The sequence below is a fragment of the Homo sapiens genome, chromosome 7 (genome assembly GCF_000001405.40).
Source record: "Homo sapiens chromosome 7, GRCh38.p14 Primary Assembly".
Taxonomy (NCBI): Eukaryota; Metazoa; Chordata; class Mammalia; order Primates; family Hominidae; genus Homo; species Homo sapiens.
Window position 1 is genome coordinate 126,949,405 of NC_000007.14, and position 14,604 is coordinate 126,964,008.

Genomic DNA, 14,604 nt, shown 5'->3' on the forward strand with positions numbered 1-14,604 from the left:
CTTGGAGTAGCTAATAAAAAATTTTAAAGTGATTTTCTTCCTTCTACCTCCAAGAAGACCCTCTTTTAAAAGGTGCAATGAGTACCAGAATCAAAATATATATTACAGGTTTATTTTTCATATGGCAAAAGCAGTATGCCTATCTCTGTCCTCGAATATCTCCATGGTTTTGTGAGTTAAGAATTGGAGTTAAGAATGTCCCTTTAGATGGAAACTTTGCTGAAATTTTATCCACTCATTTATTGCCCACATGAGTTTAAAAATGAGAATAAAGCTAGATCTTTTACATCACTGGAAATTTTCTTATGTCTCAGCACCATCCAGAATGTTGGCAATATTAACAGACCAGCAATACTTCTTGCATAATGGAGCCAGAGGAATAAGGAAGGGTGGGGAGGAGGAAGGGAGCAGAGGAGAGCTTTGGGAGACTTTCCCTGACTAATTCTTCTTCAAAACTGTGAAACTTACAATTTCTAAAAACCATAGTCATGATGAAAATGCCTCCTTTAAAACTGCAGCCTTAGAGGAAGCCTGTAGGCTTCTGTCGAGTATTTTAGATCAAAGACGTGGGTTTGAAGTTGAGGTTAATTCCCTCACTTTGCAGTACCACTAAAATGAACATCACAAATAAGGCCTGAAAAGCAATGGCTCGATTCCTTGAATTAACTCTATCGTTTCTAGGTAAGTACTTGGAAAACACTGCATTTACAAAATATATAGCTGGTTGAGGACCCAGGTGATTCAAACATTAAAATTTACTGAGATTTCTGCTTAGTTTGCCTGTCTGCTTATTCAATTTTGTTTCACACTTGATTAATCAGACCTTAGGTTGAAATAGCCAAATGATCTGATAGAGCTTTCTGGTAAGAAGAATAGTACTGCAGAAAAATATTCACAATAAAAATTGAGATGAATGATTCAGGTATGTGGAATATAACATTCTGTTTAAATTATACATCTGTTGTCAAAAGATACATACTTTGTAAATAAGTATAGAAAATTATCTGGAAGAATTGGTACTAGTATATTAACAGCAACTTTCTCTGGTTAGTAAAATTGGGGATCATTTTCATTTTATTTTTATCTATTTCTCTCTCTCTCTCAGTATCGCTTTGAAATAAAGACAGCTATTTTTTTAATTCCAAGTGTTTTCAATTGTGTATATAAACCAAAGCATCAAAAACTTCAGCTTAGAGTAAAAATTAGTACATTTAAGAGCAATTGGAAACACAATAATGATTATAGCCAGTTTTAGCTTCCATGTTCCATACCCCATGCTAAGCATTTCCCATGGCTTGTCTGTAACCCTATGAGGTAGGTATTCTTATCATTCCTATTGTATAAATTAGAGAAACTTAGGCATGAGGATGTTAAATAACTTACCCAAATTCACCGTACTAGTAAGTTGTAAAAGTCAAAAACTTTTGGTGGTCCAGACCATCTGATTAACTTCTATTTTGTTCTACCTGGATTGATCCTAAATGCAGCAGCTACATGTAGCAGCTTTGTCCAAGTCTTTTTTTTTTTTAACTGTCTTATTCTTGCTTCTTTTATAATAATATTAAACTTCCTTAGTCTGTTAACGTGGCACACCTATCTGCAAGGGAAAGTGGTACATAAAGAAGATATTGTCATATATCTCCAAAATGGAGTACAATAATGCTGTAAAAAAGATTAATGAAGATCTCTTTGAATTGTTACAGGCTAACTTCCAGGATGTACTGTTAAGGTAAAAAAAGCTAAGTGCAAAAGAGTATCTATATTATGTTACTCCTTGTATAAGAAAAGTGATTATAAGAAAACACATACATAACTGCCCATTTGTACAAAGAAAATATGGAAGGAACTCACCAGAAACTAAAGAAACTATCTACAGAGGGCAGGTGTCAAAGAGCTGGAAAGAAGACGGAAATGGTTATGTGTATCAAGACAGGATGGAGTGACAGATACTGCCTTGGGTGCATCATTTTGTAAAGCTCTGGCTCTTAGAACCACAGTTATGATTCATATTTTTCACATGCCCCTAAGCAATCAACAACTAAAACTAACAATGATGAGGATCCAAAATGCAATACAAAAATAACAAATAAGCCTGTTACAAATGAGTTACAAAACTACACTGAAAGGATGGGGAATAGTAACACTAACCTAAATAACTACAGAAAACAGTATCTTGACTGGATACCATGAAGCTAAAGACAAATACAAATGCATAAATGCTAGAATTTAGTCAGTAAATATGTTTCTCGCAGGGGCATAGGATAGCAATTCTAAAACTATGTGTTCACTAGAATCAAACAAAGAAGTAAACATATCATGGAAAATAAGCAGATTTCTCACTATTTGAGAAATAAATTACAAATAAAGACAGGAAAAAGCTAAAAGTGAACCCTGAGTTTACAGTATTTAGTATAAATTGTATAGTACAAATGGCTTTAAATATCTATATAGACATATAGATAAAGAAATATAGAGGTGTGTATATGTGCAGGTTATTCATATGCATATATTTCCTGGCTCTGCCTGCTGAGAAGGCTTAGAGCAATGACATCCCAGTAGTAATAAGCACATCTAGCATGAAGATCTCAGTTTCTAAACACCATTCTCTGATTTAAAAAAAAGAAAGAAAGAAAGAAAGAAAAAAGCTTGGACAAGTGATTGATTTCAGGACTAGAGCAGGAGGAAAAAAATAAGCTTAGAATATAGTGTGAAGCAAAAAAGTAAGAAAGTGTTCAAAAAAATAAATAAGGGCTTAATAAGAGAGCACAAACACTAAATGAAAATAAGCTCCTAACAGCCAAAGCTGGAACAAATTAAACAAGTTAAATAATAATATTAGAATATGACCCATAAAACCAAATAAATATATATAAGTTCATACACATGGATATAAATAATCTATTATCTAAATAGGAGAGAAAGACAGCTCTTCCATGGCTGTAGAATCCCAATTAATACATGTTGAAAGAAAGAAGGAAGTGGAAAATCACCATTAAGCAAACACCATAATAACAATTGTAACTAGAATCAAAATCCATGGATGTATGCTGAAATCATTTGTTCACAGTCTAAAGAGAAACAGGATTTGCACAGTCTTAAAGCATGTCCCCCAAGATCTTTCTTAACAGTAGGAGAAAAGATACTAACTATAAAGTGGAGAACCCAGCAGAAACCACCTTAATCAAGTGGTCATGATCAACACCACCACTAATAAAAAATATTGGCATCACAAATCCCATGACATGATGTGCTGAGAAGAACACATCATTTCTGTGGAATTCTTGCCAAAAACACATAACCTCAAACCAAGCATGAGAAAACACCAGACAAGCCCAAATTGAGGGGAATTTGGCAAAATAAGTATTCTATACTCTTCAAAAATATAAGGTCTTAAAAGTTAAGGAAAGATGAGAAACTGTTACAGATTTCAGGAGACTAAGGAGAAATAACAACAAAATGTGACATGGGATCCTGAACAGAATCCTGGAGAATAATAACAATGAAATATTGATGAAAAAACTGGTAGAATTTGAATAAGATTTTTGTTTAATTATTGGTATTATATCAATGTTAATTTCTGGGTTCTGATAATTGCACTCCAGTTAAGATTTTAATACTGAGGGAGGCTAGGGCAGGGATATGTGAAAATTCTCCGTTCCATTTTTGCAACTTTTCTTTAAAAGTAGTTTGAAATTTAAAGTTAAAAGAAAAGGTATTGCCTTTACTTCAACATAATTAAAAATGCTTTTTGGAAAAGTAAATCTCCTTTGAAGAGAAAGACCAGGTTGGGGGAGAAAAAAACCACTGATGTGAAAATTATACCGGGGAAACCACACTTTGTTAAGTTTCCACTTTTGGATACTTATGATGACTTAAGAATCTATATCAACAATTCTGTCCCTTGAATTCAACACACTGAGGTTTTATTCCTCAGCTATAATCGATCTTAATTTTTCAGTTTCAACAGAAAGACATCTTTCCCTCTTGCAAAGACCGTGGCCTTAAAAAGCTTTTGTCATTTCTCAGTTGTTTGCAACTCCAACAGTGAAATACCGCCACTACATTTGATTTTTGGCTTAAAGAAACTCTATTGCTAAGATGGACGACTTGGGCAGTGTATTTCACTTTTGTTTGCTGATGTGTTGCATTTATTTGCTTTCACTTATCAAGAAAAGAGCCAAGTTTTTTTTTCTTCTTCTTCTTTTTCTACTCCTCCACCTCATTCTCTCCTGTTTAACCATGTGTGTCAGAAGGAGAGCTATCAAAAGGAAGCTATGCAAGTTAATCAGTCAGGGCCTGAGAGTGCCCAGGAACCGTTTGTTACAACAGCAAAGGGAATGAAGCCTCCAAGCAACAAACTAATTAATACCTCTCTCTTCTTTGAAGAAAATGACCCAATATTGAACTCCAGTGGATTATACAACATTTTAATTTACTATCTGCTAAATGGATGACTACTTTATAATATGCATTTCTACTTATTCATTTACTGACAACACCAGTAGTCATTCAAATTGAACCCCCTGGCCAAGGTCTAAGAGAAACCTAACTAGGACTAGAAGATATTTAATATACACTATTATATACTCATGCCTCTTGTTTCTACCAAACGAGATGCCATATGGAAAGAATGTTGCACAACGCTGGCACACAGAGCAGCCAGGAACTTTTCCTTGTTGCTTTCTTCTTCCCTGCCTCTACTTCTCTTCATGTTGTTATTGGTAAACTGTTTGCTAAGATGTACTTTCCAGATAACAATTCAGAAAACAGGTAGGAGACACACACCCTTAGAAATATCAAAGGCAAACTTCCTTGGAAGTCAAGTGAAAAACTGCTGAGGAGTTAAAAAGGCAGCATGGCAAGGTCATAAATCTCACTTTATTGCCAGTCACGGGGACATGAAAATCTGAAGACCCTTAAGCCTTTCCCCTGAATCCTAAGACAGTAGGGCTACATGCCCTGGAAATAACTTCTGGCTCAAAATGGACTCTGCAAATAATCCAATGTGTTCCTAGGGTTGCTAAGTCTAGCAAATAGCAATATAGGGTGTCCATGTCCCAGGCGATATTTGGGACATACTTATACTAAAAATTATTTGTTATCTGAAATTCAAATCTAACCTGTATTTTAATTGGTATTTCCCTTCCCCCTTATGAGAAATAGGTGACTAATGCTACAATTTAATTTCCAGACCTGGACTTTTATATAGATTCATTACTTTCTAACTGTGCTACTGAAGCAATTTAATGTCCTTACTGTACATGTCCTCATCTGTCAACTGAGATAATAATAACAATAACTTTCTCATAGAGTGGTTGTGAAGAGTAAATCAAATAATCTATACAGTACCTGGAATATACTATGTATTCAATACATGCTTGCTTTTATTGTAATTACTGCAGTATTACTGTTTGCATTAAAAATATTTGTTGAAAGAGGAAACAGGTTAATAAACAAAGTTTAGATTTTATCGGAAAGACAGTATCTTTGCTAAGCAAGGTAGAGAAAGAAGAAGAGTCTGTGAATAAATTAAGAATCTCTAAATTACACTGTAAGATTTTCCTGTAATCCCCAAATAATAATTACTGTCAGGCTTCAGAATGAGGAGAGCTTGCAGAATTTTCTTGCAGTGTTTTACACATTTCATTTTTCATTTCAATTCAGAATAAAAGGCAAAAGAATAAGAGTGAAACAACTAAGATAAGCCCAAACAAAAATGAGGAAAAGGTGTATATGTAAATTAAGAACACATTTATTACTAGCCTTTTTTAAAAAAGGAATGACAGTGACCTCTAGTAAAATATTTCTGTCTAGAGGCAAGATTACCCATGCCTGGATAACAGCCAATGTTTAAGCTCTTCTCTTAGAAGTGTCCTATCTACCTCTCCCACCTTCATTTCTTCAAGAAGTCAGCTAAGAACCCATCAACACCAATACAAAGGCTGTAAAATAACATTTTCCTCTTGGCTGGATGCAAAAACTAGAACTGCAGAAAAGTTCTCAATAAAAATTGTTTGAATCGCTATCAACTCATTCTTTCTGCTGACTAGGAAGTTAAATAAATAAATAAATAAAAGGGACTCCAAGTCACCAGTTACGCCAGCAGTTTGCAAAAACTATTCTCTCTTTTGCAGGAGCAAGGGTCAACATAAATGATTTATTGTCTTTATAGCTAGTATTTATAGGTATTTGAGGGTGTTCCATAGGCTCAAATGGGTTCCTTTTCTTTATCTGGCCTCAAGAGATTAATTATTCCTGTCAATTCAAATCTATCTTCCTGTTAACAAATCCCAATGGGTCTTTTCCCCTACTCAATCAGATAAACTCCAGATTCTAACATTTTAATGATTTTTTTCTGCATTACAGTGCTGCTTAATTGTATAGTGTTTAAAGAATATGTGGATCTCGATAGGAGTTTTTTTATTTCCTTAATAAGAGAGCCTGACAACTTTGTCAACTTAATGAGTACACACTGATGTTTGCTATGGGGGATTTTCCTAGTGATTATAGGACTTCTTTTCTAGAGATGATATTCCCATTTTAAATGTTTTTTTAAAAAAGAACTTGGATGGTCAAGTTCAAGAGTGAGTAAATTAAATGGCACCCTTTGCACATGTATATGTGATGTGTCCAACAGAAAGCACGAATTTGACGTGTCCAACAGAGAGGGACCAATTTTGGTATATTATCAACTACCTAAAATATAAACAGCACTTTAAAGCTTTGGGAACAAAAATGTATATGTAAAATATTTTAATCTATGTTTATCACTCTAAAATTGGGATACTGTCAGTTTTAAGAAAAAGGAGAAGAAACATGCATATATGACCACCTTTAATGTTTGAAGGTGTCCAAAGAGGCAATGATGAGAAAAAAAGATCATGTATTGTGGAATTACAAGGATCCACTATATCACTTACTATTATATTATTTCTCTGAGCCTCAGTTTCATTGGAAAAAGACAAATAACCAAGCCTATCTCACCAGTTTTGTTTGATTACACACAGCATTATGAATAAGAATAGTGTCTGACAGTAGGTATTCAATAAATGCTAAGTTTCAATTTGCTCTTTTTCAACATTCCCTTTTTTTTATTATACTTTAAGTTTTAGGGTACATGTGCACAACGTGCAGGTTTGTTACATATATATACATGTGCCATGTTGGTGTGCTGCACCCATTAACTCGTCATTTAACATTAGATATATCTCCTAATGCTATCCCTCCCCTCTCCCCCTTAAAATGAAGAGAGAACTGAAGAGGCTACAACTTGACTTCTTTATTATTTTCTAATACTTTCATTATTAACCTGACAGGAACATGAACAGGGAAAAACAATAAGCACAAAATAGGAAGAGATCAATAGCTTGTGATGAGAAGACATGAATCTTGTCAGAATTCAGCATAGAACACATGAGAAGCAAACTTTATTCTTTCAACTTACAAAATTTATCTTTTCTTCTGATAATGGAACATTTCACTCAATACAGAGCCGACTATTACCATGAATTAGTTATAAACACAGATGTAGAAAAAGAAAAATAATCTACGCAATGAAAGACCTTCTAATGAGTACATGAATGTTTTTCAACTCTAGGTAACAAATCAGAAGCCCAGGGACAGGACCACGGTGTGAACACTTTTTTAAAGTTCCACAGCTGATTCTGGAGCCTAATAAAGTTAGACTACTACACTGGTACAGACATAGATGCTGCAATGTATCTACTACATTGATGTAGAGGGAGCTTGTGCCTGGAAGGTAAGGAAGATCTCAATCACAGAGTTAAAAAAAAAATTAATAAGCACTAAAGCATGGTAACTGAAAAAAAAGTCAAAAACCTTTAATATAAAAGTCTCTTCCACTTTCCCCCAACAATTACATAACCATGAGGTCTCTTCCTGATGGCAGCAGCAGCCTGTCTGGAGCAGCTGTGGCAGGGACACCAGCTGAGTGGGGAAGGCTCCGCAGGAATAGGTGGGAGCCCCATCCCCTACCGAGTTGGAGTCCCATGCTTCTGGGCGCAGCTGCAGCCACCCAGCTGCAGCTCCAGACTGGGCATCCCTGCTCTCTCAGGGGCATGGGAGTACCCCACGACCCCCGCAGGCTCAGAAGTGCCTGCTCCTGATCCCTGGCCTCTCTCTGCTCCCAGCACCGGCTCGAGTGCAGAGTAAAGTTGCAGCTGAGCCCAGGCACTGTTGCAACTCAGCTGGGTATGCGTGCACTGAAAGCAGCACTGACATGCCAGGCCCCTGCTGCCTCAGCCCCCTCTGGACTTTGGGCACCAACAAGCATAGGAGGGAGGCTGGGGGATGGCGGTGGCTCAGTGTGGGCCTGCAGGCACCCCTCGGCATGAATAGCCTGGGTACCACGAACAGAGGCAGGAAGCAGACAGGCTGAGAGCAGAAAGGGGTGGATCCTCGCCCACTTACAAGCCAGGGATGCCCTGAAGCCCGGGGGCAGGGCTGCCCATTCCAGGTGGAGTCCGCAGCCAGAAGTGACAACTTAGGTCCTTTTTCTGGGCCCATCCATGGCCACCCATGGACCAACCAGCACACACTTCCTCCCTTCTGTGCCCATAAAAACTCCTGGACTCAGCCAGTCTTAGACAGACATTGGGATTACCAACTGCAGGAAGGAGCCACCTACTTGGTGTCTCGGGTCTCAGGGGTCTCCTCAACTTGTTGAGGTGACCTGCCTGCAGAAAGGAGCTACCCTCCTGAGAGCTGCTTTGTTGCTCAATGAAGCTCCTCTCTGCCTTGCTCATCCTCCAGTAGTCCACATACTTCATTCTTCCTGGATGTGGGACAAGAACTCAGGACCCACCGAATGGTGGGACTGAAAGAGCTGTACCACAGACAGGGCTGAAAAACGCCCCCCACTCACCACATTGCAGGCGGTGAGAAGAGCTGCAGCCCTTCGGGGAGCCCAGACCTAGGGGCTCCCTGAGCCAGGGGCTCTGCAGTTCCTAGTGTCTCCAAGCTTTCAAGTGCCACCACGTTCCACTTGCCCAAATACCAGTGCCCACAGCAGAAGCCGCTTGCGGTATGTCTGGTCCAGCCGCAGCCTTGCACAGAGCTGGCGCCTGGAGCTGCCTGCCCCACTGCGGCAGCCAGCGCGCCTGGCTGTGCGCAGTGGCTGGATCCAACGCTCGCTTGTTCACACACCCCCTGCCACTCCTCGCCCGGCCCGCCCTTAGCAGGTGTGGGATCCAGACTGGTAGCGTGGGCCGAGCTCAGCCTATCAGGACAAGTGGGCATAACAGGCCCTGTGGGAGCAAGTAATACTCAGGCAGAAGGCACCACCCACCACTGAGGCTTCCGGCTGGCAAAGTGACACCCCAAGGATCCTGTGACATTCCCTTAAAGAATAATCTAAAGGGAAAAGATCCAAATCTATTATTATATTAAGGGTTTTCTCTACTTCTTCCCCGCTCTCAATCTCATGTGCAGATATACCAAATAATCAACACTCTACCCAGTTTATTTCATATATAAGTACATTCAGTAAAGCTGCCCAATGTTATCAAAACTGTGAGGGGTTGTAACCATCACAAAGGATATACTTAAACTCATATTTCATTTTGTTGACTCTCTAACAAGCTTCAGAAACATGGAAAAAATTTAACCTGGGTAGAAGGAAGGAGAAATCTGGAAGATAAAAGGAGATGAGGCCAATGAGCTTTAACAGAGTAACCCTGGGAAAAAGACTTTGAAGCAGAGAGTGAAGACTATTAGCTGTAATACACAGGGTCTTGTGAATCCACAAAAATTTTAAAGACTGACTTGGTAGAACCTATAATTGAAAGAAAAACACCACAATAATAAGAGGCAATAAGGACAGTCTGCAGAGAGTAGTGCCCAATGCTACAATACTACAGAAAGAAAACTACAATTGACCAAACCAGACATGGAAGTCCCCGAGCTAAAGCCACATTAGAGAAGTAGAAGAGAGGGATAGAGGAGTGTTTAGAAGCAAAATTTGGCAGCAGTGAACTTGAGGAATAAAGGAGATGATTTAAAGACTATTTTTGATTGCTTATTTGAGAGATAATAACACTGTACAGGGTTTAGAAGTCATGGAAATTTATATATTCATCATATTTAGCTTGAACAATGGAAATGGGACTCAGCTTTTGCAAGGAAAATGTATACTTTCTGGGGTTGACAGGTGCAGAGATTTCAAGCAAAAAGGGCTACCTTCAAGGGAAAAAAATCTAAAACTCACCTGCAAAAATTTGCTTACCAATTATTACTTAATTATTTGCACACATTTATTTTTTCCTTTAAAGGACCCTAAATTCCTTGTGGTCTTTGCATCCCCCATGATTCCTAGTAAAGCAGTAGGCTCAGATATCTTGAATTTAATTTGATCCTAAGTCATAATTTGATCAGAAGCCATCTGGCCTGGGTTCTGAAGTCAGATAAACCTAAGGCAAAACCAGTTTCATCACTTGTTAGCTGCATGGCACTGAATAAATTAATTATCCTCTCTAAACTCAGCTTCCTCATCTGTAAGAGCCAGTTGTTGCAAAGATTAAAAGAGATAATGTGTATGAAGTAATTATTACAATGCCTATCAAACTGTAAGCATTAGAAAGGGTAGAATTTATTATTTTTGTTATTGAGCTCTTTATTTTTTCTTCACACACACATAATCCATAGCACCTGATGCTACACATTCATCAGCCAGCCAGAAACCCAGGTAAATCAATGAAAAAGAAAACGACACTAATCAATCTTCCAATTTTTCTACTCTGACAAGATTCTGGCAACTAGTGGTGAGGGAAAAAAAAGAAATCTCCTGCAAATATATATCATCTTTGTCATCAAAACAGACTCAGGTAAAGTCACAATTAGCATAAGTCTGTACAAATGAAAACCAATTTACTAATGCAATACTGTTTTATTCAGGCTTCTTCGAAAATCCAGGGGAAAAAAATACTCCCTCTAAAAAACACAATTCAGATGACTTGGGTTTTGAAACTATGCAGAAAACAGAAAAATAGTTTTCATTATCAAAAGGTAGACAATGTTTTGTTTCAACAAGAATGAACAAACAATAAACTAACATTATGGCCCAAAGACTATACTATTCTTAGAATGTTGGTTTAGAATTGAATAAAACTTATTGTATAAAGTAATATGTTCAAAGGAGATCCTATCAGGGGAGAAGGAGAGGCAATCATCTTTATTTTGGGCAGACATAAGAAAATAATTTTGTAGCCTTAGACTAATACCTAGATTTGGCTTTGTTCTAGACCCAGAAAAACTATTTTTGGATGCTATTTCCCCAGATACATGTAAAAAAGATTTGAATTCAAATATGCAAATGGTATTGGACTATGTCATTTTGAAGCAGTTAAGTTTTTAAAATCCAGGCTATTCCTGTTTTGAAAGCAGTGCCATTTAATATTGTTCTTTTCTTGCTATTCCCACTTTCTATATGAATTGAGTGGGATCTCAAATCCCCTTGCTAAATGGTTTAGCAATACTTAAAATTCAGCAAAGAACATTCCCACCTTCAGGAGACACCTCTCCTTTATCATTATGGATGACTGACATATAAACAAATGTGATGCCCAGAACTGGAGTCAGTTCTGCTCTTGAAAATATTCATACATCAAACAATTCTCCTTCTTCATTTTCATAAAGACAGTTCTGACCATATTATCATAGCTAAAGGACAAAGTGTATAGCTCTCAAAACTCAATTGATCTTAGTTATCTAAGTCTTACTTTAAATGAAGATAACAGAAATCCTTTCTCTATGTAAAAAGGTTAAGCTTGGGAAAAAAAAGTGAAAGATTTTCTGGTTCATCCTAAATAGGCTTTGGAGAAAGAATTGCTAAGTGTGAAACTCCTCACCTACTGCATTTCATTGATCAAAGGGTTTTGTAAAACAAGCAAATGCAGAATTTTGAGAGGCATTTAAAGGGCTTGTCTTTTGGAAGTTAATACCCTTTGCTTAATTTATCATTGATTTCCATTCTCTTTTCTTCTCTTATACCATCACCGTGTGTAAGTGAATATAACAAGAGTCTCATTTGTCTAGAATAAAGCTTGAATTGTTTATGCTACAGATACTCATGGGGCCTGTAAACTATGGGATGTGTGCGTTCATTCTAGTCCTGTCAGCACCATGGGATCCTACTATGTGCCACACTCTGCTTAAGTGGCCTGCTGCTGGCTCTACTCCTGCCTCACCACAGAGCAGGTGCTCTCAGACACAGCAGATCCCAAGAACGGATGCTTTGTACATGTTCTGTTTTCATACTATCTCTCCGGCAGCATATGAGTAGAGGCCCAGGAGCCTGAAGGAAAGCACTTGTGCCCATCACAAGCCTCGTGGGAGGAGAGAGAGAAGTGCTTATTTCTTCACACATTTTTTGATTGGACATCTGATAGTCAGGCAAAGCTGAGGCCTGTTCTCCAGTTAAAGGAGAATCACCCAGTACTGCTGTTCCTCCTCTCTCAACTGTACTGGTTCTAAGTATTTCTCTGTATCCAGCATAGAGGAGACTTGATCCCTCCAATGGCTCCAACTAGAAATGAAGCAGCTTTCTTTGCTGTTGCCATGGGCTCCCTTCTCCCCTCTCCTAACCTTCTTCCCTACACTCTTTCTCTCCTCCTTCCAAACCCTGGGACCAGAAAAATAATATTGTTCATATATACAATGTTCATTTTAATTACATTTTCTATTATACAAAACTAACTGTCCTGCTCAGAATGCTTTTCAACCTTGTAAAAAAAATAAAACAACAATTATGTGCTAAGCAATACATTTTATATTTTCTCCCTTAACATCCCTGTAAGGGTAGGTATTAGGGTCAAGCAAATTGAGGCTTGGATAGATTAAGTGACTTGGCCAAAGTCAAACAATCAGTAGTAGAGACACTATTCAGACCAGGTATGTTCAAATGCCAAAGCCCAGCTTTTTACAATGCCCCCATGCTGCTGCATATGGTCAAGATGTGAAAAGCAAAGCAAAAATAAGATTATAGCACCAGGAATTTGTTGAATACAAATTTGTTTCCCTTCAAGCTTACCAGAAAATTATTTCAATATATTTCAACAAAAAACAAACACTATAAAATTAGTTAAAGTAGCTTAAACATTTGATTTGTATTACTGTGAGTAGAACACACAGAAGTTTATGTTTAAATGAATACTGGCAATGGAGTAGAATATAATGCACCTTAATTGATTTATAGATACTGTGCCTTTTAATAGCTCAGTTAGCAATTTCCAATTTTAACCAATCCTCTTCAATAAGAGCTTGCTCAAAACACTTAACATTGTTTTCTTTGAATACCTACAGCTAGAGCAAATGTTGCCCACCATGATAACATGATCAGCTAAGCCCGCAGTAAATGTTTTACTACCACAACCCACATATTTGCTCTGGCCAGTGGTTTGCCCTATAGGTCAGATTGTTCCCGTGCACTTACCCGCAGAAACTAAGTTTTGTGCTTAGTACTCAAGACGGTTATGTTCTCTAAAGTCTTCAATTCTGTAGTCACCTCTCCACTAATGAAAACTTAGAGATCTTTGACCCTAACTTCTCTTCCTATATGTCTCTGTCCAACTTTGTAAATATACATATACATTACCTGTGTTTACATCAATGAATTTATTCAACTATTCTGCATGCAAACCAAATAACTCACTGAGTTTTGTTTGTTTGTTTTTCAAGACAGGATAGACTCTAGTTTAGAAAAAAATATTTTACTTGCCTTATCGTGAGACCATAATGACAAAAATAAGGCTCTCTATATTATCAATTTCTCTTTATTTTGGCCAGATTCAAGTGACTATTCATTTCCAATTGCATATTCTATTTCATTTTTGCATATCTGATACCATACAATCATCAGTTTATTTCTGTTTCCATAATGAACATTATTTCTTTTCTTAGCCCAGTAATTTCCCCAACACATGCAATCAATAACTATCAATTGAATCTGAATTATTTTAAATATACATAACTAGAAAGAGATGACATGATTATATATTTAGAAAACCCCTTCGTCTCAGCTCGAAATCTCCTTAAGCTGATAAGCAGCTTCAGCAGTCTCAGGATACAAAATCAATGTGCAAAAGTCACAAGCATTCCTATATACCAGTAACATACAGAGAGCCAAATCATGAGTGAACTCCCATTCACAATTGCTACAAAGAAAATAAAATACCTAGAAATACAACTTACAAGGGATATGAAGGACCTCTTCAAGGAGAAAAACCAATGCTCAAGGAAATAAGAGAGGACACAAATAAATGGAAAGACATTCCATGCTCATGGATAGGAAGAATCAATATCATGAAAATGGCCATACTGCCCAAAGTAATTTATAGATTCAATGCTATACCCATTAAGCTATCATTGACTTTCTTCACGGAACTGGAGAAAACTACTGTTAATTTCATATGGAACCAAAAAAGAGCCCACATAGCCAAGACAATCCAAAGCAAAAAGAACAAAGCTGGAGGCATCACACTGCCTGACTTCAAACTATACTACAAGGATACAGGAACCAAAACAACATAGTACTAGTACTAAAACAGATATATAGACCAATGGAACAGTACAGAGGCCTCAGAAATAACA

The 14,604-nt window shown here is 37.4% G+C and overlaps 1 protein-coding gene across 25 annotated transcripts in view; it reads right to left on the minus strand.

The window, feature by feature from the left end:
- Positions 1-14,604, minus strand: part of GRM8 (glutamate metabotropic receptor 8) — an 814,344-nt gene that overhangs the window by 510,807 nt on the left and 288,933 nt on the right. The window contains exon 1 of one of the 25 annotated variants that reach the window (XM_047420273.1): positions 1,384-4,458. The exons of the other annotated variants lie outside the window; for them this stretch is intronic. The gene's annotated coding sequence lies outside the window, so the exon portion shown is untranslated. Of the gene's footprint in view, positions 1-1,383; positions 4,459-14,604 lie in introns of those variants that run through there. 25 annotated transcript variants of the gene reach the window in all.